Below are 24964 nucleotides of genomic sequence, written 5' to 3'. Positions count from 1 at the left end.
ATACAGTGATGATATCTCAATTCCAAGTTCCTCTTCGAGATGCATCAAGATGCAAACTCCTTTCAGAGCCTAAACCAGAAGAGTCTGTACCCAGATTTCCCTACCCCTTAAAACCCTCACCCTGCTTTAATGGAAAGGCACCTGGTCTTCAGGGGCTCCTTGAAATGTAGCAGCAGAATAATGCTGTTGCCTCCATTTGAGTCACTTAAATCCATTCTGGGCTGGGCACGATGGCTCATGCCTGTAATCCCAGCACTTTGGGAGGCCGAAGCAGGTGAATCACAAGGTCAGGAGATCGAGAACATGCTGGCCAACATGGTGAAATGCTGTCTCTACTAAAAATATAAAAATTAGCTGGGTGTGGTGGTGTGCACTTGTAATCCCAGCTACTTGGGAGGCTGAGGCAGGAGACTCGCTTGAACCCAGGAGGCAGAGGTTGCAGTGAGCTAAGCACTGCACTCCAGCCTGGTGAGAGAGGGAGACTCCATCTTAAAAAAAAACACCTCATTTTGGATACTAATTATTTCTTCTTTCCATTTTCCGATCTTAGCTTATAGATCTACAATCTGTTATCCTTTAATTTCTACATGAGCTGAGAAGTAAATATGACTATAAAACTCTAATGATGACATCTTTTCTCAAACACAATTTCGTTCAAAGTATTGCTTTTCTTACTCATTTAAAAATTAATTTGTCAATGTCACATTTCATTCTTAACTTTGACATTTCATTTACAGTGTAGGCTTAGATGCATCTTTCTTGAACTATCTACTGTTTCTGTTCCTAAGTCATCTTTAAAATATGTGTTGTCTCCTATATTTATTTTGATCATTTAATTTTTAACTAAACTTTTTATTTATGTAAACGAATAAAGTGGGGATAGCAGGTACTATTCCATTGTGATTATGTTACGTCAAATTCTAAAACTAACCTATCTGACTTCAATGCTGCAATAATTTTTGCTGTATATATTTATAATTACTTGTCCTTTTCTCTATTAAAAGAATTTGCACTCCTAGGGGAAGGCATTATAGAATTCACTTCTGCATCTTTAGTATTTGGGCATTTTGTTAAATAAATACAAGTAATATCTAAAATGAACGAGAACTTTCTTACATAGAGATCATTGAGATCATTGTTCATAGTCCTGAATTTAAAAAGAGAATATTAATCCTAAGCTTACTATTTGCCCAATACATTTTCAAGTATTTTACTTGAAAATGAGTTAGTTCATTTATCTTCCACTAAACTCGTGAGGTACAACCTGTAATTGTTCCTACATATGGATGGATAAGTCACAAAGCGGCAGAGACAGGATTAATTTGGACCTTAACTGCTATTCTCTACTATTTATTTATTTCTAAATCTGGAAATGGTTGTTTCCATTCTCTGACAGAAGGATCTGACTCAAGGATGTCATATACCCAAAGGGGAAATTCACTCAGGGTATTTATGTAAAGATGCATGTACTCGACATTCTGCCCCTTCTCCAGATTTCAGAAGCAGCTTGGATTTTTCTCTTTTATAAAGGAGAAGAAGCATGTATACCTCACACGTGCACATACATAGAATATTTCCGTATGTTGTTTGTGTTTCTAATACATACCCTCAGGCACCACTCACCTTGAATGTCCAGTCCATTCGCACAAGATCCTTAAGATATAAATGAGTGTTTTGCCCCTATAAAAGTGTCTGTGTGGTATGCAGTCAGAGAATGAATTACATCAATACCAATTCTTTCATCACAGTGCCTCTTTTTCCGTCTGTTTGTTTCCCATGTGCCCACGGAATGATGAGGCACTCCATCCTATGAAATTCTCCTTCAACATTCATTTAGCTATGAGTGTTGAAACTTAAATAGCAACACAATGGGAAGCCAGAGATGTCTGAGGCTGAAGGACTTAAGGGTAAGCAATATGTGTGCTTTCAGTTATCTGTTGATGTCGCAGTTAAGTATTTAGCACTTGCTGCATATCTGGTACTGTTCTGGTGCTGAGAATGTAGTCATAGGTAAAACAAAATCCTGTCTTTCATGTTGCTCCCATTGTATGTCTATATCTTATCTATTTATCAATCTAGAGTGTGGTAGTAGGTGTGAAGAAGAGAAACAAAGCAGTGAAGGGAGATAAGTTGTTTCTAGGATGAAGACTGCTATTTTGAAGATGATGAAAAAAGAAATTCTCACTGAGCCAGTGTCTTGGGCTAAGACCTGAAGGAAACCAGGGAGTCCAGCCACACACAGGAGGGAAAAGAGCATTCTAAGAAGAAAATGTGGCTGGAGGGGAGTCAATAAGAAAGAAGAATGGGTAGGAAATGAGGTAGGGTGGGGGTGTGGGGAGCTGGGTCTAGATGAGGCAGGGCTTTGTACGTCTTGGTAATACGTTGCTTTTTCCCATTGGGTGGTTTTGAGTAGAGTAGTAAATTCATTGTATTTGCATTTTTTTTTAAAGGATCCCTGTGTTTTCCTTTGTGTGTGGGAGGGAGCAGGAGCAGAACCAGTTGGTAGAGGGTCTTTCACTCCTTTTAGGAAGTGGTTGTGCTGGTTTTGGCTGTCAGTGGAGGTGATAAGGAGTGGCTGGAGTATGGGTATAACAGCAAGGTAGAACTGACAGGATTGGTCATGGGACATAAAAAGAAACTTTTCTTTGCTGAAGCAACTGGAACCATTGAGTTGTCACTGAGATAAGAAGTCAGCAGGAGAATATGGGGAGGAAGACCAAGGGTTTAACTTATACATATTAAATTTGAGATTCCTACCACACATGCCAGTGGAGATTTTGAGTAGGCTATTGGATATAAATTTTTACTCTAAGGAAATAAGTATTGGGCAAGAAATATAATTTGGTAAAGACAAAGATTAGATTTAAGGCTCTGAGATTTGATGAGACCACATTGGAATTGAATGTAGACAATGGGTTTGTGTACTTAGTGCTGGAGTCCACTAGCATTAGAGGTGAGGGAGATAAGGTGTCACACGAGGATCACTGGCCACTGAAGGAGGAAAAACAGGGTTAGAGGCACTACAGAAACAAAGAGAATGAGTTCCAAGGAAATTGGGGGCATCTACAGAGTGAAATTCTACTTTAACCACTCTCTCGGAGGGTGTGTTGAAAACACCTGTTGGTAAAGAAATGATGAAGAACATCACATGGTCCTGTTTGCAATCACATTTCTTTCCTATATAAGGAACATGATCTTGGGTTGCAAGCCAGCACAGTATGTGACATATGGTAAGAGCTAATTTCTTTTCTGGCTCTCAATAGGGAGACATCTACAAACTATAAATACATCTCTGAGCATGATTGTGACCAGGACTACAAGCATTAGTACATCTGTGTCTATATAGAGAAATGCAACCTCGTGGTCACTAGGAATTATACAGGAAACTGTTTTCACATTTTGTACATGGTAATTAACAAGGAACATAAAGGCATCTCCTGGTTCCCTACGATGTCTTCCCTAAGACATTTTCTAGGACACGTCCATCAAGCCTGGAATATCACATGTCAATTCTTTTTTGCAGTTACTCCCTCTGGCTTAGGGGTGCATTAATAAAAAAGTCCTAGTAAGGTGGATAAAGATTAACGTAAATGTTGGTTTCAGCTCTATAGGTAGGCAGTGTTTAATAAAGCGCTGCTAGACTGATATTTGTTGAATTTTATGGATGGAAAGGCATGCAAAGAAGGCGAGGATGACACCAGCTACATGAGTGTCCTTGTCTTCTGTATCTCAATGTGGAAAACAGGCAACAAACAAACAGAAACTGGAGGGCCCTTCATCAAGACCCCACATCATTTGTGATGCTCTCAAGATATGTCAAAATGTTTCCTTTTCATTTTTTCCCAAAGTGATGAATGCATTACATTTTTTTCTTTTAAAAGTCATTAAATGTTTTAAATGGCAGCGTGGAATAGAAAAATATCCCAGGTCCTCAGGCACAAACGATTTTCAATTCTATACAGAGAAGTCTTTCAAACTCTGACATCTGGAAAATGAATGATTCCCAATTGCACATAGAATTGTGCTGTAGGGCTGTTTGAAGTTCCTTGGAACTTGTAACCAACCCAAACATTTTTATCAGTTCCATAACAATACACAAGTCAATAACAAAGGGGTGATTCAGTGGCCAATCCAAGTCCAAATGACAGTGGCCTTAAACAGCCCAATCAAAGTGAGTGACATTGATGCCGCTTTCAAACAATAAATATTAGCTCTGCTACTGCTTAACAGTGTCAAAGTGCCATTTGCTTTCTGAGTGTCACCTTAGAAAATCTTCTGAGAGGGAGCAAAAAGCACCATAACAGAATGCATTCTAGTTTCAGCTGTAACTTCAAGTTGCAGTTGCCTTGAACTTCAGGATTGTCTCCACTGGCAATTTTGGACATGTTCATTATGAATGGAATCTTGGTTATTCTAAGCTTAAGTTATTCTAAGCTTAAAGAGGATTTTTAATTTCTCTATGACACTATTCTTTTTATTGTGATTTTTTATTTATACATTTGAGGGATGAGGTATATTCTGAAAAATAAAACCTTGTTTACTTCTATATCTGAATTATATTGTCTAATCTCAACCTCCAAGTTTGAGGATACAACTTCTTGTTTCCCCTTTATAACTTTAGTGAAAATCAGATGCAAATACATGAGCAACATTAGACCTTAGTCTTTGAAGTGACTGAACTAATGTACTAATAAGAGTAAGAATCATCATAAGATTAAAAATATATTATTACATATATGTGCATTTTTTTTTAGTGATGAGGGTGAACAACTATTAACCTGTAAAAACTAAGAGTTTTACAGTCTAAGATTACAGCTCTTTCAGGATTTCCCAAGTTTATTTTTAGCAGTTATAAAGGAAGTAATTGATCTAATTTTTCCATTCCTAAATTACAATGGTGAAATATCCATTATATTATAGCAATGCTAATTTCACTTTTACAGATTATATTCCTCACCTACCCCCAGATTCTTTTATTCCTTATCCATTCATTCATCTATTCCAAATAATATCTTAATTACTCCCTGGAGTGGCTGCTGCCGTCACACTGGCCACTGCAGGGAAGGCACGAGGAGGAGGTGGACCTGAGCCAGGGGTGGTGCTGTACTACACAGAGCTGGTGGGAGCCCCCAACAAGCCCAGTCCATTGCCTTGGGGGCCACTAACAGTGGAGCAGTGTGGTCGGGCATGAGGGGCAGGCAGAAAGGAGCCCAGCAAGGACCTGGAGTCCCTGCCCCAGGCTTGGAGGAGGCACAGCCAGGACTGCATACTCTACAGAGCAGGAGGGAATCAGGGACAAATGGGACACCTGCCCCTTCCATATTGGGGTAGGAGCTCCCCAGGTGCAGCCACAGCAGCCCAAGTAGTGGCTGCAGATCTGAGCCCCCTGCTCCATGGAGTAGGCAGGAACCCCACCCACAACCCTCCCCCCAGGTACACCTGCAGCCATCCAAACTGCTGCTGCAGACCAGCCATCTCTGTAATTTTGGGGGCCTGTAAAGGCCCTCTCTGCCCTCACAGGCTTAGAAGTGCCCTCTCCCACTGCAGGGCTTCTCCCTGCTGTTGGCACCTGCTCTAGTCTTGGGGCCAGGTATGCACAAGCTTGGGGCAGTGCTGATAAACCAGCCCCTGCCACCTTGGCCTCCTCTGGACTTTGGGCACCAATGAGCTAGGAAGTGCCCTCTCCCACTGCAGGGCTTCTCCCTGCTGATGGCATCTGCCCTAGTCTTGGAGCAAAGTCAGGGCTAAGCCTGGGCACAGTTGCAGCCTGGCCCAATATGTACATGCTCCGAGCAGTGCTGACAAGTCCCTGCCACCTTGGCCCCATCTGGACTTTGGGCACCAATGAGCTAGGGAGGGCCTGAAGCCTGGGGGCCAAGCTGCCAGTCCCACAGCCTGGAGTGGGAAATTGTGGTGCCTTTGCCAATCCTGCCCTTGGCCAGCCATGAACCAATTGGTGTTCACTTTCTCCCCTCTGAGGCCATAAAAGCCCTGGGCTCAGCCAGAGAACTGAGCAGATGTCAGGGTGACCAGCTACAGAGAGGAGCTACCCTCTCTGCTAGGAGCTGAACACTTGTTGGGACACCCTAGCTTTGGAAAGGAGCTACTCCCTGTGGGTCTTCTCTGAGCTGTTCTATCACTCAGTAAAACTCCTTTACGTCTTGCTCACCCTCCACTTGTCTACATACCTCATTCTTCCTGGTTGCAGGACAAAACTCCTCAGGACCCCCCGAATGGTGGGGCTAAAAGAGCTGTAACACAAACAGGGCTGAAACATGCCCCTTGCTTGCCACATTGTGGGTGAAGAGAAGGAGAGAAGAGCGGCAGCCCATCAGGGAGCCCAGACTTGAGAGCTCCCAAAGCCAGGGCTGTGACTCCCTCTTTGGGGCCTTGTGGTTCCTGGAGTCCCCAAGCTTCCAGGTGCTGCCGCATTCCCTGGTGCCAGCAGGGGAAGCTGCAGCCTTGCAGACAGCTGGTGCCTGTGCTGGCACCTGGAGCTGCCCACCCCTCAGCAACAGCCAGCATGTCTGGCTGTGCACAGTGGCTGGACCCTACACTTGCTCACACACCCCTTGCCACTCCACACCTGTCTCGCCCGTGGCAGGCATGGGATTGAGACCGGTAGTGAAGGTGAGCACAGCCTGCCAGGCTGAGTGGGCGGAATGAGGCCAGTGGGCCCAAGCAAAACTCAGGCAGAGGTGCCACTGGCCACAGAGGTTTCTGGCCAGAAAAGTGACATCCCAAAAATCCTGTAACACAGGGATCGAGAAATGTCAAAAATATGCTATCTGCCTCATTGTTAGGAGTTAAGGGAGAGGCAGACATGTAAGTAACCGGTTCTAGAATTAGGCAAAGTAAAATACGTTTCTAAAATAATATGAGCTCAATGCACATTGTAGAAGAAAAAGTAACTACGTGTGATTGTTGCCCTCGTAGTAGAAAACAACAACAATAACCAAGGCACTTTTACATAATATTCTTTGCCAGTGTAGAAATAGCCCCTATCGTCCTGGCAACTGCCTCTGTTGGTAGGAGTTACCCTGAGAGAGAATATTCAGTTTCTCTGACTCCATTGTTTTGTAAAACAAAACAAAACCTAACCTGAGCCAAATCTCTGCTTGATTTTTCAAGCTTAAATTCTTCTAAATCCTTTTAAACTTACAGTCAAAAATGGAAGGCACCGGCCGGGCCTGCTGGCTCACGCCTGTAATCCCAGCACTTTGAAAGGCTGAGGCAGGAGGATTGCTTAAGTCCAGGAGTTGGAGACCAGCTTGGGCAACATGGCGAGACCCTGCATCTTAAAAAAAAAAAAAAAAAATACAAAAATTGGCCAGGTGTGGTGGTGCGCACATGTAGTCACAGCTATTTCGGAACCTGAGGCAGGAGGATTGCTTGAGTCTGGGGAGGTTCAGGCTGCCATGAGCCATGATTGTGCTACTGCACTCCAGCCTCAGAAACAGAGTAAGACCCTATCTATCTCACAAAAAAAAAAAAAAAAAAAAAAGGAGTAAGGCAAGGCATCAAAATACCCATTTCACAAACACATAAAACACAAATACCAGAGAATCTGGTGACGATGTGGCTTTAAGGAATAATTCAATTACTACATGGGTGTTGGTCTTTGGTAGGACATGATGACACTGCCTAACATACGGTTTCCTACATAGATATTTACTCAATGTACTTGTTATGGAATGGGTTTTGTTGTGAGAAAACTTGTTATACACAGATTTTGTTAACTTTATTTCATAAGGCAAGGAGAAGAAATGTGAAGCACCGGCTTAAGATTTAATTCTTACAAGACTGAGAAAAAATGAATAGACAATAATGTATAAATGTTGATATCTGCCTCATTGCCAAGTTTTCATTGCCCTATCTTCTCTCTGTGCTTTTCCTAAGCAGCATAGTCTGTCCCTATTTAAACAAGATTTGATTTTAGCTTGTTCTTAGAGACAAAAATAAAATCCCCACTATATCTAGAGTCAGAAATGCATAATAATGCAAATTTCCACCCCCAGGTGGAGTAAAAAGCCTCAGGGTATGCAACACACAAGCTAACATTTAATATTAATGTAAATCACAGCGCTGAAGCTCATGATGTGAGGCAAATCCTCTCCGACTGCAATTCCTCCCTAACTACATTCCCCTGGACGCTTTCCTTTACCTGGCACACCACTGAAAAAAAGAAGAGGAACCCATGTTTCAAACCAACGGATTGTTTAGCAGGTAAAATAGTGCAATGCCTTTAACATGCCTTAAGAATGTTTAAGGCGTTCATGGATCCTGGCTGCTCAGTACCCATTTCTACCCCTCATTCCCCACGTTTTTTTTTTGAGACGGAGTCTCGCTCCTTCTCCCAGGCCGGACCGCAGTGGTGCGATCTCGGCTCACTGCAAGCTCCACCTCCCAGGTGCACGCCATTCTCCTGCGTCAGCCTCCCGAGTAGCTGGGACTACAGGCGCCCACCACCACGCCCGGCTAAGTTTTTGTATTGTTAGTAGAGACAGGGTTTCACCATGTTAGCCAGGATGGTCTCAATCTCCTGACCTCGTGATCTGCCCTCCTCGGCCTCCCAAAGTGCTAGGATTACAGGCCTGAGCCACCGCGTCTGGCCCATTCCCCACTTTTTGATGGGGTAACTTATAGTGCAACTTGTTTTTGGAAAATTATAGGTGAAACTGGCAAGAAAAATTCTTGATCTTTCATAGCCAAGTCGGGGTGGGGTGGGGGGCGATGACTTAAGTTTGGGCTCTCAAACTCTATATCTATGAATGTTGAGCCTTGAATGGGGTCTAACACAGATGGAGAAAACAAATAATGGAACTAATTTCTCCTAGGAGGCCAGGCCCAGATGTGATGGCTGATGGATACCTGCGCCTGGACGCTAGTTGTTGTTCTATTTTGCACCCCTTTCAAGCCAAATTACCAGCTCTTCAATGAATTTGATCATGTTCTACCATCATCACACATGATTAAATTCATCATTTTTTAATGGAGACAGCAATGGACACTACTAGTACAAATAGCAGGACTTCCAAGAAGCCATCCTTGACTATCTACTATAAAGTGGCTTCCCAACCATTACAATAGCCAGTTTTAAAATCCTTCCCAGCCCTTCTTACCATCTGACTTTCTCTCGTTTGTTGTAAATCATTACAGTATATCTGAGCAGTTTGGCTTCATAGTTTTCTTTGCCAACCACAGCAGAGGAGGAGATGGAGAATGCTTTCCCCCGGGAGCAGGAATAACTTGGTTTAAGGACAGCCAGTGAAGGGGGGTGAAGGGCTTCACAGACAGGAAGAGGATAATGCAGCATGGCTTCATACATCAGTGTATAAAGGCCAGATGGGAACAGGGTGTCTGCATACCCCAAGGCAAAAGAAAGGAAATACAAAAATCTAGATTGTTGTCTCATCCTGAAAATGCCACTTCAACACTAGGTCTGTCCCCTTGCAGAAATAAGACACACTCTGAGAAAAGATTTCTTTCACACTTGAGTTTGTAAACTGAGATGTGTATCTGATCAACGTGATTATGTATTCCTCAAACAATATGGTAATATAAAAGTTATAATGAGTCTCTACTAATCCTTTCTCCCAGAGATAACAGCTGACAGCCATTTCTAAAATTGTGTCAATATATGGGGCACGTACTTACATATGGAACAAGTCAGATCCCTAGACATGGCTATAGAGAGATTTAGTAAATTTTAATCATTCACTAAAAATTATTTTCATTTGAAAAAACAAATGAGATAATACCGTATGTACTATACAGCATCACCTTTTCGATACCAAGGACTGGTTTTCTTGTATTTGAGAAAATAAGATATGTCAATCATTGATAGGTTGACTGCTGACATTTAGGAATAACATGTGTATTTTCTTTTTCCATTAAAGAATGAGTCAGGCTGGGTGTGATGGATCATGCCTGTAATCCCAGCAGTTTGGAAGGCCAAGGCAGGTGAATCACCGAATCACCTGAGGTCAGGAGTTGGAGACCAGCCTGGCCAACATGGTGAAACCCTGACTCTACTAAAAATACAAAATTAGCCAGGCGTGGTGGTACACACCTGTATTCCCATCTCTTGGGAGGCTGAGGCAGGAGAATAGCTTAAACCTGGGAGGTGGAGGTTGCAGTGAACTGAGATCAAGTTACTGCACTCCAGCCTGGGTGACAGAGCAAAACTCCATCTCAAAAAAAAAAAAAAAAAGTTTTTGAAATTGCTTGCAGCAATCAGGAGGCTTCAAGGGTAAAAGAAATTATTCTTAAAAGAAATTATTCTTATATGAGTGGGAACTTTGACCAGCAGCATGAACTTCCATTGGCAAACTCATGAAAAAATCAGATGCTTGGTGCATAATATTGGAAATTAAAATTATTTTAATGGAATTTTGTTCTGATTCAAATATAATTAGAGAGCTCTAAATCCAAAGAGTATTTAAAATGCCCAACTTCATTTAAAATTTTTTTGGTGTGAAGAACCAGAAAAATGATTATTATTTTCTTCTCAAAAACTATCAGTAAAATAATCTAAATCTCAGGTGTACTTTGGGAAATATCCAGAATGCATTTCTCCAATGGTAAACTACCTGCTATTGAAAAGTTTACTCACCCCTCAATGACATTATGACTGGCAAATGAAATTTCTAAGAGTACTAGAGGTAATAATGCAATTATCCCAGTGTTATTTGGCCAGAAATTTTAGATTATCATTCATGTTATTTTGCTCATAACCAAATATGATTGATTGCAGATTTCAGAGTTGATAGATAAAAAAGGTTGATAGATAAAAAATGAACTAAAATATTTTCTTTAATAAGGGTTACATTTAAGAGTCAGGGCAGTGACTCTCTCCTATGTATACTTAATTTATTTGGTTGCATTACACAAAACCAACATATCTCGTGTGTGTGTGCACACACGCATATATACATATAAATTTATCATTTAATATATACGTGTATATACGTATATATGTATATACACGTATATATGTGTATACGTATATATGTATATACATGTATACATACATATATACATATATGTATACATAATATATAATATATACATATATGTATACATAATATATAATATATACATATATGTATACATAATATATAATATATACATATATGTATACATAATATATAATATATACATATATGTATACATAATATATAATATATACATATATACATATATGTATACATAATATATAATATATACATATATACATATATGTATACATAATATATAATATATACATATATACATATGTGTATACATAATATATAATATATACATATATACATATGTGTATACATAATATATAATATATACATATATACATATGTGTATACATAATATATAATATATACATATATACATATGTGTATACATAATATATAATATATACATATATGTATATAATATATACATATATGTATATAATATATATGTATATAATATATATGTATATATTACATATAATGTATGTAATACACATTATGTATATATTATATTACATAATATATGTATATATTATATACATATTTTGTATATATAATATACATATTTTTGTACAATATATGTACAAAAATACACATTTTTTGTATATATTATATACATATTTTGTATACATGTATACATATATACATGTATAATTTAATAATATACAATATTATATTATGTATATATTATGTATGTATTAAACATTTTATGTATTATGTATATGTAATATACAATATGTATATATGTAATATATACATATAATATATACATTTAATATATACATATAAATTCATCATTTAATGTATACATGCACACCCACATATATACATATAAAAATATATACATGAACACCCACATATATACATATAAATGCCCTATTTTTATTAAGCTATTTATATTAACACATACTAGTGATAAATACTTGACATTCTAAAATCCATTTCTATTCTCTTTTCACAGCCATAAAATGTTAATTTATGTTATGATAATTAGCCAAATTTCTAAGTATGTAGTGGATAGCTGATACAGCCTACAATATATGCATATCACGGCAAGATTAAGAAGTATAAAATAATAATTTTCCTTTTCGTTGAGGAGGAAATTGATTTATCAGATTTTCTTTTTCTTCTTCATAACTTAAAGGACAATAAGCATTGGCACAAATCAACCAAGGGGTGCTAATGGGGACGCAAAGGGAAAGAGAGAGTGATTGTTGAGATCGTAATTCATGTAAATTCATGTAGGGTCCTAGGGGATGAGATCACCTAATACAATAGAAAACACGCTGCTGACCTAACCTTAGATATTGCCAAAGGAAGTAAGACTTAGAAGGCAATGAGTAGACAGAACTGAACCTTCCTTTGGAGCAGAGGTGCAAGGCCAATTACAGAAGAAGGCATATTTCAGACAACTGGGGGAGAGTGCTGGCAGCTCTAGCAGGCTAGAGCTAGATGGACTCAACCAGTGTCGGCTTAGTTTTCTAAAAGCATTGCACTTTTGTGATTGAGCTTAATGCCCTTACAAAGATCTTACACTTTTAGAGTTTCCTCTTGACATTAGACAAAAAATAAGATTTGTGATCCAAACAAACAGTTAATCTAGAAGCATTTACCGAGTGGACTACAAAATATTTAACATGATGGAAGCAAAATGACAGCTATGAAGAACTGTCAACAAATGCTCTGTAATTAGGAGTCTGATTCTATTTTTTGATGTCTGACTGTTGATAGATTTTAAGCCTCACCCCTCTGCTTTCCCTTGTAGCCACATCTGTACAAGCTCAAAAAAAAAAGAAAAGAAAAAGCCTGGGTGCTTTCTCCTTTGGCACCAGCGAGACATCCAAACCATGGAAACCTCTGCCCATATGGAATGCTCACCCTGGTCCCACGGTGAATCATAATAGAGACCCAAGCCAGTCACCTTTCCTGGCCCTCACAAACCATTTCTGACCTGCTTGAGAGGTCTGCCCGGTTCTCCCAGAGACCTCAATTATGTAAGTAAGCATCCTTTCCATACCCTCTTTGTGTGCTTGTGATTTCATCAACCTTGCCATCTGAACTTTAGGTGGGGGTCAGTCCTGATTTTGCAAGCTGGTTATAACATAGTAATTATCTGTAGGGAGCATATAGTGAAATGGAATGACATACCACCTGCATAGTCAGTTTCATGTGGAACAACCTACCAGCACACCATGGTGTTTAATGAATGCCATTAATAATTACAGTGATTGCATTTGTTAATATCCCATGACTATATCAGCACGTAAGCCATGAATTGATTATTTTTTTTGTCCTTTTGTCACCTACACAGAAGGTGTTCAATCTGGGACTCTTGGCAGACTATTTTTGACAGTTCTTCATGAGGATGAAGGTGACCTTCCCTGAAAGTGAAACCCATTCTTCCTTTACAGTCAGTGGAGGTTAGGCTGAATATCAGGATTTTCTTATCCTGAAGAAGACAATTTTGTATATTCTAAAGTTTCTACATCATATATATGTATCTCACTTTTGAAGTTATATATATATATAGGATACAGGATCTTCATTTTGAAGACTATATATATGTCTTTATATACTATAGAGTATACTATAGTATAGTATAGTATATAGTATACTATACTATAGTATACAGTATACTATATACTATACTATAGTATATAGTATACTATACTATAGTATACTATACTATAGTATAGTATATAGTATACTGTATACTATAGTATAGTACACAGTATACTATAGTGTAGTATATAGCATACTATAGCATAGTATAGTATACAATATATTAGTATATATATTATATAGTATAGTATATAGTATATATAGTATATAGTATATATACTATATACTATATATACTATATACTATATAATATAGTATATATAGTATACTATACTAGATAATTATAACAAATAGTATATTATAGTATAGTATACTATATTATATATAGTATACTGTATATAATACTATATATGATATATAGTATACTATATATAGTATATATAGTATACTATATATAGTATATATAGTATACTATATATTATATACTATATATAGTATACTATATATAATATACTATATATAGTATTTTATGTATAGTATAGTATATATAATATAGTATATATAATATAGTATAGTATATATAATATAGTATATATAATATAGTATATTATATAGTATACTATGCTATACTATATATTTTGTAGTATACTATATGATACTGTCGTATATAGTATACTATATAGCATACTATACTACAGTATCGTATAGTATACTATAATATACTATACATTGTATATTATATATACTATATATAATTACTATATACAATATACTATTAAATATACTTATATATAGTATACTATATAATATACTATACTATATAATGTATAGTATATTATACTATATTACTATAATACTTTATAATATATTACTATAATATAATACTATATTATACTATACAATATAGTATACTGATTATATAGTATATTATAATCTAGTAGATTATAGTATATAATACAGTATACTGTATTATATAGTATAATATACTATAAATATTATAATAGTTATACTATATAATATAGTATACTAGGTATATACTATATATTCTATACTATCTATACTATATTATATACTATTATATTATATATACTATATTATATACAATATATACTATATTATATATATTATAGTATATTATATAATATAGTATAATATATAACATATATTACTATATATTATTTTAGTTATGTATATATATGAGAGACAGGGAGACAGGACCTCACTTTCTTACCCAGGCTGGGGTGCAATCGCATGATCTTGGCCCACTGCAGCCTCCACCTCACTGATTGAAGTGATTCTCCTGCCTCAGCCTCCCAAGTAGCTGGGATTACAGGTGTGCACCACCATGCCTGGCTAATTTTTGTATTTTTAGTAGAGATGGGTTATTGCCATGTTGGCCAGGCTGGTTTTGAACTTCTGGCCTCAAATGATTTGCCTGCTGTGGCCTCCCAAAGTGCTGAGATTACAGGCATGAGCCACCGTGCCAAGCCTGAAGTCATGTTTTAATGAGCTAATGATGGGATTCATAATTGAAGGGGATAAAGGCAAAGAGAGTAATAAAATTTATGGTGTGAAGGATAAGTGGGTATGGGGAAGAAAGTTCTGAGAAAGTAGGAGATGAGAAACAAGAAGATCTTTAACTCAGAGCATCCTAAGATGAAAGAGTGGATCCAATTTGGAAGTTGACACCTAGCAGTGCTAGGCAAGTTAATGTTAATCAAGAAAGACTGCTGTGAAGGATGCTATTTAAGTTCTCAGAACCTGTATCTTTAAGTCCGGCATCTCATTCTTCATTTAAATAAAGACAAATCTATTTGTACCAAGCATCCAACTGGTTGACCCAGAAACATTGCTCATTTTGTGAAAGGTGCCTCACTACAGTAACTCTGCAAAGATAACTACAGGGTCAAAGAGGACCACTAAACATAAAACACGGTGCTGAGAACAAGATCCCAAATCTTTACTTAAGGGATTAAGAAGTATACTGGCCTACCCTGAGCTATGCAAAGCTCAGGGGCATATAAAGCAGATCCTACTGTTATAACTATGTATGAATAATTAAACCACATTTTATGAAGCACTGATGGTCTTAGCATAGACAAAGCACTAGAAAAAATGATAGTTCTTCAGAAAAAAAATATAGCCTGAGGGATAGTATAAAAAGTATATTTAAAGAATAAAATAAGCAGGTTTTTCAGAGGTGGGGCTGTCAATAGCAAGGCCAGAAATCTAGAATGTGCTACAGGGAAGAGGGCTATCAAGAACTCAAACTACAATGAATTGTGAAGATTGAGAAGCAGAAGGAAATGTTGGTAAGGAGGTTTGGGATCAAGAAGCCAAGAAGAGGAACTTGGATTCAATATACCTGCCCACAGGGAAACTTGATAGTTAATTATTTGTATTTGCATGTCTTCATAGAATATATCTATCCCTTTTAAGTATTCAGATCCCATTTAGTGTCTTATGTAAGCAAAAATATATATTTATGTGCTAACTAGAAGGTCTTGATAAAAACAGAGTCTTTGGGTTGTCATTTAACCCACACACTTATTTAATATCTGCATTACCATTCAAAGAATCTGGTTTTGAATTTACAAAAGAGGCAAAGATTTGCTTCAATTCTAAAACAGTCTTATGAAGGACAAGTTATGGAAAGTATCGAGGATCTGCCAGAAGTGTGTATGTTGTAATCTCAAGCAAGATGCAGAGGTGTTGAATTGCATTTTTACTAACTCTAAGGTAGGAAAACATGAAGCCAGACCATTTAATATAATCCTAGACCATTCCAAGAGGTCAATGCCAGTCAAACCAAAAACAACCTCTTCTATATGGGTTTTTCCAAACCAGGGCACTTGGGAATCCAAGATGAAAATAATATATGACTCTATGAAATATTATGAAATATAAGGTCACTACAAAATTTGCAAATTGCATGAGAATGTAATCTAACATGAAATAAATAGTCAGTAGATACAACTGAAGAGAATATGTATCCCCACAGCACATGATATACTAAAACAATTAGGAAAGAGAAAAAATATGTATGTTCTGAATGATATTATTCCATTTATTTGAAGTTTAAACCTAGGCAAACTTGTGTGTGGTGCAAAAGCTAGGATAAAAGTTATCTATTAGAGAGCAGTAACTTAGAGTGGCCCAGTGGGGCTTCCAAGATGCTGTTAAGCTTTTATTTTTTATTATAGGTATTGGTTATTCAAGTGCTTTTTTCTGAATTTGTGAAAATGTATTGAGCTACATGATTATAATTTATACTGTATTTGTTACATGTCAATAAATAGTCAAAAGATAAGACAAAAAGAAATTTACGGATATATGTAAATTAAGAAAGTTCACCTCTCCAAGATGTATTCTGAAAGAACTGTTACAAGTTATACTTCAGTGGGAAGGAATCCGAATGCTGAAGGAAGACATTGAATGCAAAAACCAACAGTAAACATGATAGATGCTCACCATCATTAGTTATTAGGGAAATACAAATCAAAATCATAAATCAAAGCCCCTTCATACCTAACTAGGATGGCTATAATAAAAATATGGCAATATTAAGTGTTGGTGAGAATATGGAGAAATTATTAAGAATGTAAAATAGTGCAGCCAATTTTGAAAATTTGGCAGTTTTTCAAAGAGTTAGAGTCATCATATGAGCCAGCAATTCTACTCAGTAGTGTATACCCAAGAGAATGTTAAATACAGTAAGAAGTTCTTCTTCAAAGGTTTAGCTTGTCTAAGTTCCCTTGTTCTTTGTTTCCTGCTTTTAAAGCGGAACTTACTTATTCTTTATGTCTCCCTGTCCTAGTCTCAGTAAACAACTCCCCCATCAGTTCTTATCTATAGAGCCTACATTCCACATCTGCTGCTAACCCTGTAAATTACCCCTCCCACCACAATCGCTTTTCCCACCAAACCTGTCCTTCTTGCCAGTGTAACCCCCTTCCTGCACCCTTCAAATTAGCCAACCAGGACCAGTTTAGATTGTGCAGTCCAGCTCCAGCCAATGGAGACAGGACACAGTAGTAGAAACCAATTGCGTTAGGAATAAAAACCCCTGCTTTCCTTTGTTCAGTGTGCTCTTGCCATTGCTCCATCCATGAGACGCACCCTTCTATGGAAGTAAATTGCCTTGCTGAGACAACTTTTGCCAGAGTGCTGATTATTCTTTGCAGCAAAGAGCATTTGTTTCTAACAAGAATTAAACATATATATTCAAACAATCCAAATGTCCATCAACTGTTGAATGAACAAAATGTAGTATACCATACAATAGAATATTCTTTCGCAATAAAAAGGAATGAATTACTGATATAGGCTAAAACGTAATCAGTAACAAAACATGAGGCATGTGAAAGAAATCGGCCACAAAATGCTATATGTTGTGCAATTCCATTTGTAGAAATCGAGAATAAGCAAATTCATAGAAATAGATTAGGGGCTGCCAGGGTCTCGGGGATGGGAAAATGGGAAGTGACCACTAACAAGTACTTGATTTTTTTTATAGTAATGAAAATGTTTTGGAATTAGATTGTGGTGATGGTGATGTACTTTGTGAATATATTAAAGCTACTAAATGGTCCATTTTAAAATAGTACATTTTATAGGATGTTAATCATATATGGTGAAAATTCCAAAATAATAAACAAACAATGGCAGGCAGAGAAATTGATAAAATGTGAGCAAGTATGAATAACCACTGCCGTAAATGTAAAAACAATATTGACTAATATGGGTGAAGGTTAAAAGCCAGGAAGAATTAGCCACTCTACTAAAATTATTAATGAGGAAGATGAGATTAAAATGGTAGGGAGCCAATCAGTTATGAGTTGTAACTAGTTTATGATGCTTTTTATAAAAGTACGTAGTTGTGTTAGATTTCATATGTTCTCTAAAGTGAGCTTATGGTAGAAGCTATCAGAGATCTTTCTTTATTGTGCAGCTGTTATGTTAGCTTCCTAGAATGAAGCAGACATATTTTGCAGATGTGCATTGCATTTCTGGAAATACATTGGCACTAGTCACATATTTATTGGGAGGTTACTTTCATTGTTTTTCATTTTATAACTATTGGAAATGATTCACTTCAGTTTTTCTTCTGTGATGTGGGTAGAGGAAATAAGCTGAGACAGCTAAGAAAGTCTCAGTGCTGATTTTCACTCTGAAATGCACAAGTTCGGAGAAAGGGAAAAGAAGCAATGCCTCAAGGCTGGTCCTCCTCCTCCATTTCCCTACAGTGATGTGAGGATAAGGGGATTGAGCCATATGAGTTGTCATTTTTATTTCTAGGGATTTTAAAATATTGGATTGTTAAACGTTTTTCCCCGTGAATGTATACATGTCATTAATGATTCCAAAGAGACAATCTTGGTGTATTTTTTCAAAAGTTTGTTCTGTGGGGATGGATAAAAAGTACATACCATAAAATTTACTATCTTAACAATTTTTAAGTGTACAGTTCTGTGGCATTAGGTACATTCACATTGATGTGCAACTATTACCCCCACCCATCTCCTGAGTTTTCATCTTCCCCAGCTGAAAATCTGTGCTCATTAAACACCAACTCCTCATCCCCCTCCCTGCTTGGCCCCTGACAACCACTCTTCTACTTTTTGTCTTTTTGGATTTGACTACACTAAGAACCTCATAGAAGTGGAATCATACATATATGTCCTTTTGTGACCGGCTTATTTCACTTAGCATAATGTCCTCAAGGTTCATCCACATGATAGCATATGTCAGAATTTCCTTCCTTTTTAAGGCTGAATACTATTCTCTTGTGTATCTACACCACACTTTGCTTACCTGGACATCCGTTGATGGACACCTGGATTGCTTCTACCATGTGGATTTGCCATTTTAAAAATGCCTTTTACTTACCCCAAAGTAAACTGGATAGCTTTTTGAATGTTTTATAGTGTTATATTTTCGATCATGTTCCCTAATCTCAAGAAGGCATTCTGACTTCATACACTCATACACATCTACTACTCTCATTGACTAATATTTCAAATCATTATATACATGAAAGTATGTTCTAAAAATTAAAAAAGTGACATGGCAATAATATTCTTAATAATTTGGAAAATTTGTGGCTGACTGCTCATTAGTTCTTTTTAACTAGTTGACCCATTTACTCATTTGTTGAACCCTTTAAGTCAGACACTATTCTAATCTCTTTTTATTTATATTTATTTATTTATTTTCCATAGGTTACAGGGGTACAGGTGGTATTTGGTTACATGAGTAAGTTCTTTAGTGGTGATTTGTGAGATTTTGGTGCATCCTTCACCGGAGCCGTATACACTGTACCCTACTTGTAGTCTTTTATCCCTCGCCTCCCTCCCACCCTTTCCCCCAAGTCCCCAAAGTCCATTCTATCATTCTTCTGCCTTTGCATTCTCATAGCTTAGCTCCCACATATCAGTGAGAAAGTACAATGTTTGCTTTTCCATCCCTAAGTACTTCACTTAGAATAATAGTCTCCAATCTCATCCAGGTTGCTGCAAATGCCGTTATTTCATTCATTTTCATGGACAAGTAGTATTCCATTCTGTGTGTGTGTATACACACACACACACACACACACACACACATTCTTTATCCACTTGTTGATTGATGGACATTTGGGTTGGTTCCACAATTTTGCAATTGCGAATTGTGCTGCTGTAAACATGCATGTGCAAGCAGAATTCTACCAGACATTCAAAGAAGAATTGGTACCAATACTTTTGATGCTATTCCACAAGCTAGAGAAAGAGGGAACCCTCCCTAATACATTCTATGAAGCCAGTATCACCCTAATACCAAAACAAAGAAAGGAAGGACATAACCAAAAAAGAAAACTAGAGACCAATATCCCTGATGAATATAGATGCTAAAATCCTTAACAAAATACTAGCTAACCAAATCCAATCACATATCAAAAAGATAATCCACCCCGATCAAGTGAGTTTCATAACAGGGATGCAGGGATGGTTTAACATACGCAAGTCAATAAATGTGATACACCAGATAAACAGACTTAAAAACAAAAATCACATGATAGTCTCAATAGATGCAGAAAAAGCATTCGAGAAAATCCAGCATCGCTTTATGATTAAAACTCTCAGCAAAATTGGCATACAAAGGACATACCTCAATGTAACAAAAGCCATCTATGACAAACCCACAGCCAACATAATACTGAATAGGGAAAAGCTGAAAGCATTCCCTCTGAGAACTGGAACTAGACAAGAATGCCCATTCTCACCACTCCTTTTCAACATAATACTGGAAGTACTAGCCAGACCAATCAGACGAGAAAGAAAGAAAGGGTATCCAAATCAGTAAAGAGGAAGTCAGACTCACTGTTTGCTGAGGATACGATCATTTACCTCGAAAACCCTAAAGACTCCTCCAGAAAGCTCCTAAAACTGATAAAAGAATTCAGCAAAGTTTCTGGATGCACGATTCATGTACACAAATCAGTAGCTCTTCTATACACCAACAGCGACCAAGTGGGGAATCAAACCAAGAACTCAACCCCTTTCACAATAGCTGAAGAAGAAACATAAAATACTTAGGAATATACCTAACTAAGGAGGTGAAAGACCTCTACAAGAAAAACTACAAAACACTGCTGAAAGAAATCATAGACTACACAAACAAATGGAAACACATTCCATGCTAATGGATGGGTAGAATCATTATTGTGAAAATGACCACACTGCCAAAAGCAATCTATAAATTCAACGCAATCCCCATTGAAATGGCACCATCATTCTACACAGAATTAGAAAAAAAAATTCTAAAATTCATATGCAACAAAAAATAGCTGGCATAGCCAAAGCAAGACTAAGCAAAAATAACAAATCTGGAGGCATCACACTACCTGATTTCAAACTATACTATAAGGCCATAGTCACCAAAACAGCATGGTACTGGTATAAAAATAGGCACATAGAACAATGGAACAGCATAGAGAACCCAGATATAAACCCAAATACTTACAGCCAACTGATTTTTGACAAAGCAAAAAAAGTGGGGAAAGGACACCCTTTTCAACAAATGGTGCTGCGATAATTGGCTAGTTCTTTTTAGATCGCTGTTCTTCTTATCTTACTATATTGCTTACCAAGCAATTGAAATAGGAGTTGTGTAAAGGCCACGTTTTCCATTATCTTTCTATGCTTGTGTTTTTGTGTCCTTAGCATTATCTTCAGTTTATAGTCCTTTGAATAAATATTTTTTATGCTACTTGTCCATCTGGGGAGGGGTTCACTTAGTTGAAATTATACATTATTGTTCAAAAACTCACTCACCTGGTCATTCGTGATTTTCAGTAAGTTGCATTATGCATCTAGCCTACCCTGGCATCTCTCCATTGGAACCTGCAGTCTTTCTCCAGCAAATCTTAGGGGACACAGCAGCATCAGGTTTATGGACCCAAGTGAGGGGTGTCAGTGTCTCTCTGCATTACTGAGTGTTACTAAAGTTAATTTATTTCTTATTTCTTGAAAATTATAAGAAATACGTTATTTTAAGTGGGCATTTAAATTCTTTTTGCACCAAATTCAATAGTTTATTTGTGCATTCAGATTTGGGAGCTGTGAGTTCAGTTATGCAGTCCTGGGCTGTGTGGGGATGCAGTTTAGCAGACTGTGGTGAAAACAACCTGGTGACCATCAAGCTGAATCTGCCTGCAGTCAAATTTTGTATGACTCAAAATGTGTAGCAAATTTGAGTTTGTTTTTTTTTTTTAAATACAGAAGCTCTGGCTATATTGGGCTTACACGTCTAAATGTCAATCATTAGCTGGAGCTGAGTTGTAATAGCCTTATATATTTGTAAAGGTTACCAAATGGTATTTATTATTGGAAGACAATTTGAAAATTTTTATAGATTTCAAGGAAAACGTTTAGGCACCATGAAAGAAGATATAGATATAAAAAACTCAGTATCATTGTAAAATTTCAATTTATAATAAAAATTAAACATGGAAACGTTTTTGATTATGTGGAAAATGGCGATACCACCTTTACCTTAAGGCAAAAGAAAATCTCTTATAGATAGTCCAATAATTGAGGGCAACCAAAAAATTGTCTGCTTCTGAAGGTTCTGGGTTTCTTTTTCAATCGATGATGACGTCATCATTTGGAAGGGAATATGTAGCATGAGATGCCATGATCACCACCATAAAAATGGAGTTGAAGGAAGTTCGTAAGTCTCAGCACAGGGCTTCACAGCTACACCGGAGGTGGGTTAGGGGGTGTGGTCGTAGCCTCCCTTAAAGGTGAACAGACTTGCTAAATGGATGGAGAGAACAAGCCACCCAACAGGACAGGAGCCGTATCCTGAGCTCGTGATTAGAACATCCTCCAGAAAGGAGGAAGAAGAGCAGAAGGGAAAATCCTCAAATTCATGCAAGTGCAGAAACCCATGATTAGTGTCCTTGGGCTGACCTGTGCTCATTATAATAGTGAAGAACCCACATCTGGGTGGGGATTTATGATGCTAATGAGACATGTGACATATGTACCAGCATGCTCAACCACAGCGCATGTGCCACCAGGAGACAGCCCAGAACATGCTTAGCAGCATCACCCTTTTATGAATAACCATGTCAGTCAGACTCCCATAAGGTGGCTTCCCCAGTGTCAGTCGGTGCTGTTTCACTTTTGAGCGGCCTGCTCTGATCAGCTGGCAGAGTGCACTTTTGCTGTGCAATCAAGTCTCTTGCTTACCTTTACTTTGGACTCACTCTCAAATTCTTTCGCTGGTGAAGTCAAGAACCTGAGCCAACCCACAGGCTATACACTGAGGGATTAGAGCTGAGAGAGAGAAGTTGTCAGTGCTCAAAACTCTGGAAGCCCCAGTAGCTAAGACACATCCTCTCCAATCCACGACCATTTTAGACACGCTCACTCTCATCTCCCAGAAGGCATCTGTGTGGAGGAGGTGGTGTAATAATTCATTAAAAACACTTTATATTTGTTTATGGTCTCCAATACTGACACAATTATCTACTAACTGTATGACTTCTCACATTCATAAAACAGGGATAGTAATAGTATCTGTCTTTTAGGATTGTTAGGATTATTTTGACAAGTTCCTACAGAAGTCTGCAAACATTTCTGTAAAGGACCAGATAGTAAATACATTAGGCTTCATAGATCATACAGTCTCTGTCACAATGACTCAAAATAGCACAAAAGCAGCTGTAGACAATAGGTAAACAAATGAGCTTAGCTATGTTCCAATGAAACTTTATTTACAAAAACAGGCAGTGGGCTGAATTTGGCCTATGAGCCACCATCTATTGACAACACATGTAGCAGTAAGCTTAGCTCTGTGCATGGCGGCAAAGTAACACAAGAGGTGCAGTCAGAGGTCAAGACTAGCAGCTCACAGCAAACTCTGAAGCCTCATCTTTCCCATGGAATATTTTTACTTTATGAATTTCTTATGCTCATCTCTTTTTCTTATATGCTAGAGAACAAAGCTTGGGTTGTAGAGGCAGGCAGACCTGGGTCATCCTTGATTCCGTTTTATACATTCAACACTTATTGAACACATACCATATTCTAGGCACGAGCTGTGCACGCAGGGAGCCTACTTAATCTTCCTTTGCCTCAGTTTCCTCATATGCAGTTAAGCTCGATGAGGGCAGAATTCACTGTATCTCTAGTTATTTGAGCCATGTTTGACACACAGTAGGCTCAAAATATAAGTTTAATGCAAATATTATACTTCATATGTTATTGTCAAAATTAAATAAGTAACAAAAATACAATGTTTAACATAGCAAATAGACAGTGCTCCAAAATGTCACTTTTCTTACTTCCCAGGAAGATGTAGTTCAAGAAATTTGACTGGCATCCTTTCTTTTTTTTCTATTTCTCCTAACAGATTAAATAAATAGCCTTTTTAGGTATAGCTATAGAGATATAGTTAATCGGTTTGGAGAGAAATGGTATCAGCTAAAACACATTTGAAAAAAAAAGTCATCATCACCAGGGTCACCTTTTCAAACTCAAAGCTGAAAATCTGTAATCTGCCTACAAAAGATCTCTGCCGCGCATGAGAGGGTGAAGCAGATTTTTCTGCTGCCTCTGGAGGAAGATACATCAGCTGTAGGTGTCAATTCAGCCATGGAGAATAATTTAATCATACTTGTAAATGACATTCCAACAAAAGGTCATCAGATCTATCAGACCCTCATCAACTTAGGAAAATTAGACCTGCGTTATTGACGCTGAAAAGTGATATAGCGCCTGACTCTGACTCAGTAGGAAACTAGGGAATTAAAATAAGTCTGAGCCCAGCAGCGGAACCGCTGGAGGCCAGGCAGACTAAGAAGAGAGAGGATCAGGCACCTCTCTAGTTGCAAATTCCCAGAC

The 24964-nt window shown here is 37.6% G+C and overlaps 1 long non-coding RNA gene across 2 annotated transcripts in view, besides 1 other annotated feature; it reads left to right on the top strand.

Annotated features, from left to right (window-relative positions):
- The first annotated feature begins 1820 nt into the window (after positions 1 to 1820).
- Positions 1821 to 24964, top strand: part of LOC105372676 (uncharacterized) — a 60004-nt gene continuing 36860 nt past the window's right edge. For both annotated transcript variants that reach the window (XR_001754682.1, XR_001754683.2), the window contains exons 1-3: positions 1821 to 1907; positions 8084 to 8226; positions 12778 to 13006. This is a non-coding gene — a long non-coding RNA (uncharacterized LOC105372676). The remainder of the gene's footprint in view (positions 1908 to 8083; positions 8227 to 12777; positions 13007 to 24964) is intronic.
- Positions 6051 to 6562: an enhancer, noted in NCBI's record as "H3K4me1 hESC enhancer chr20:54207780-54208291 (GRCh37/hg19 assembly coordinates)". NCBI's record gives its function as "activates a minimal SCP1, AML or CMV promoter by ChIP-STARR-seq in naive H9 embryonic stem cells {active_cell/tissue: H9 hESC(naive)}" and the evidence as "EXISTENCE:reporter gene assay evidence [ECO:0000049][PMID:30033119]".

This window comes from Homo sapiens, chromosome 20, assembly GCF_000001405.40.
Source record: "Homo sapiens chromosome 20, GRCh38.p14 Primary Assembly".
NCBI lineage: Eukaryota > Metazoa > Chordata > Mammalia > Primates > Hominidae > Homo > Homo sapiens.
This window is presented reverse-complemented; position numbering and strand designations above follow the sequence as displayed.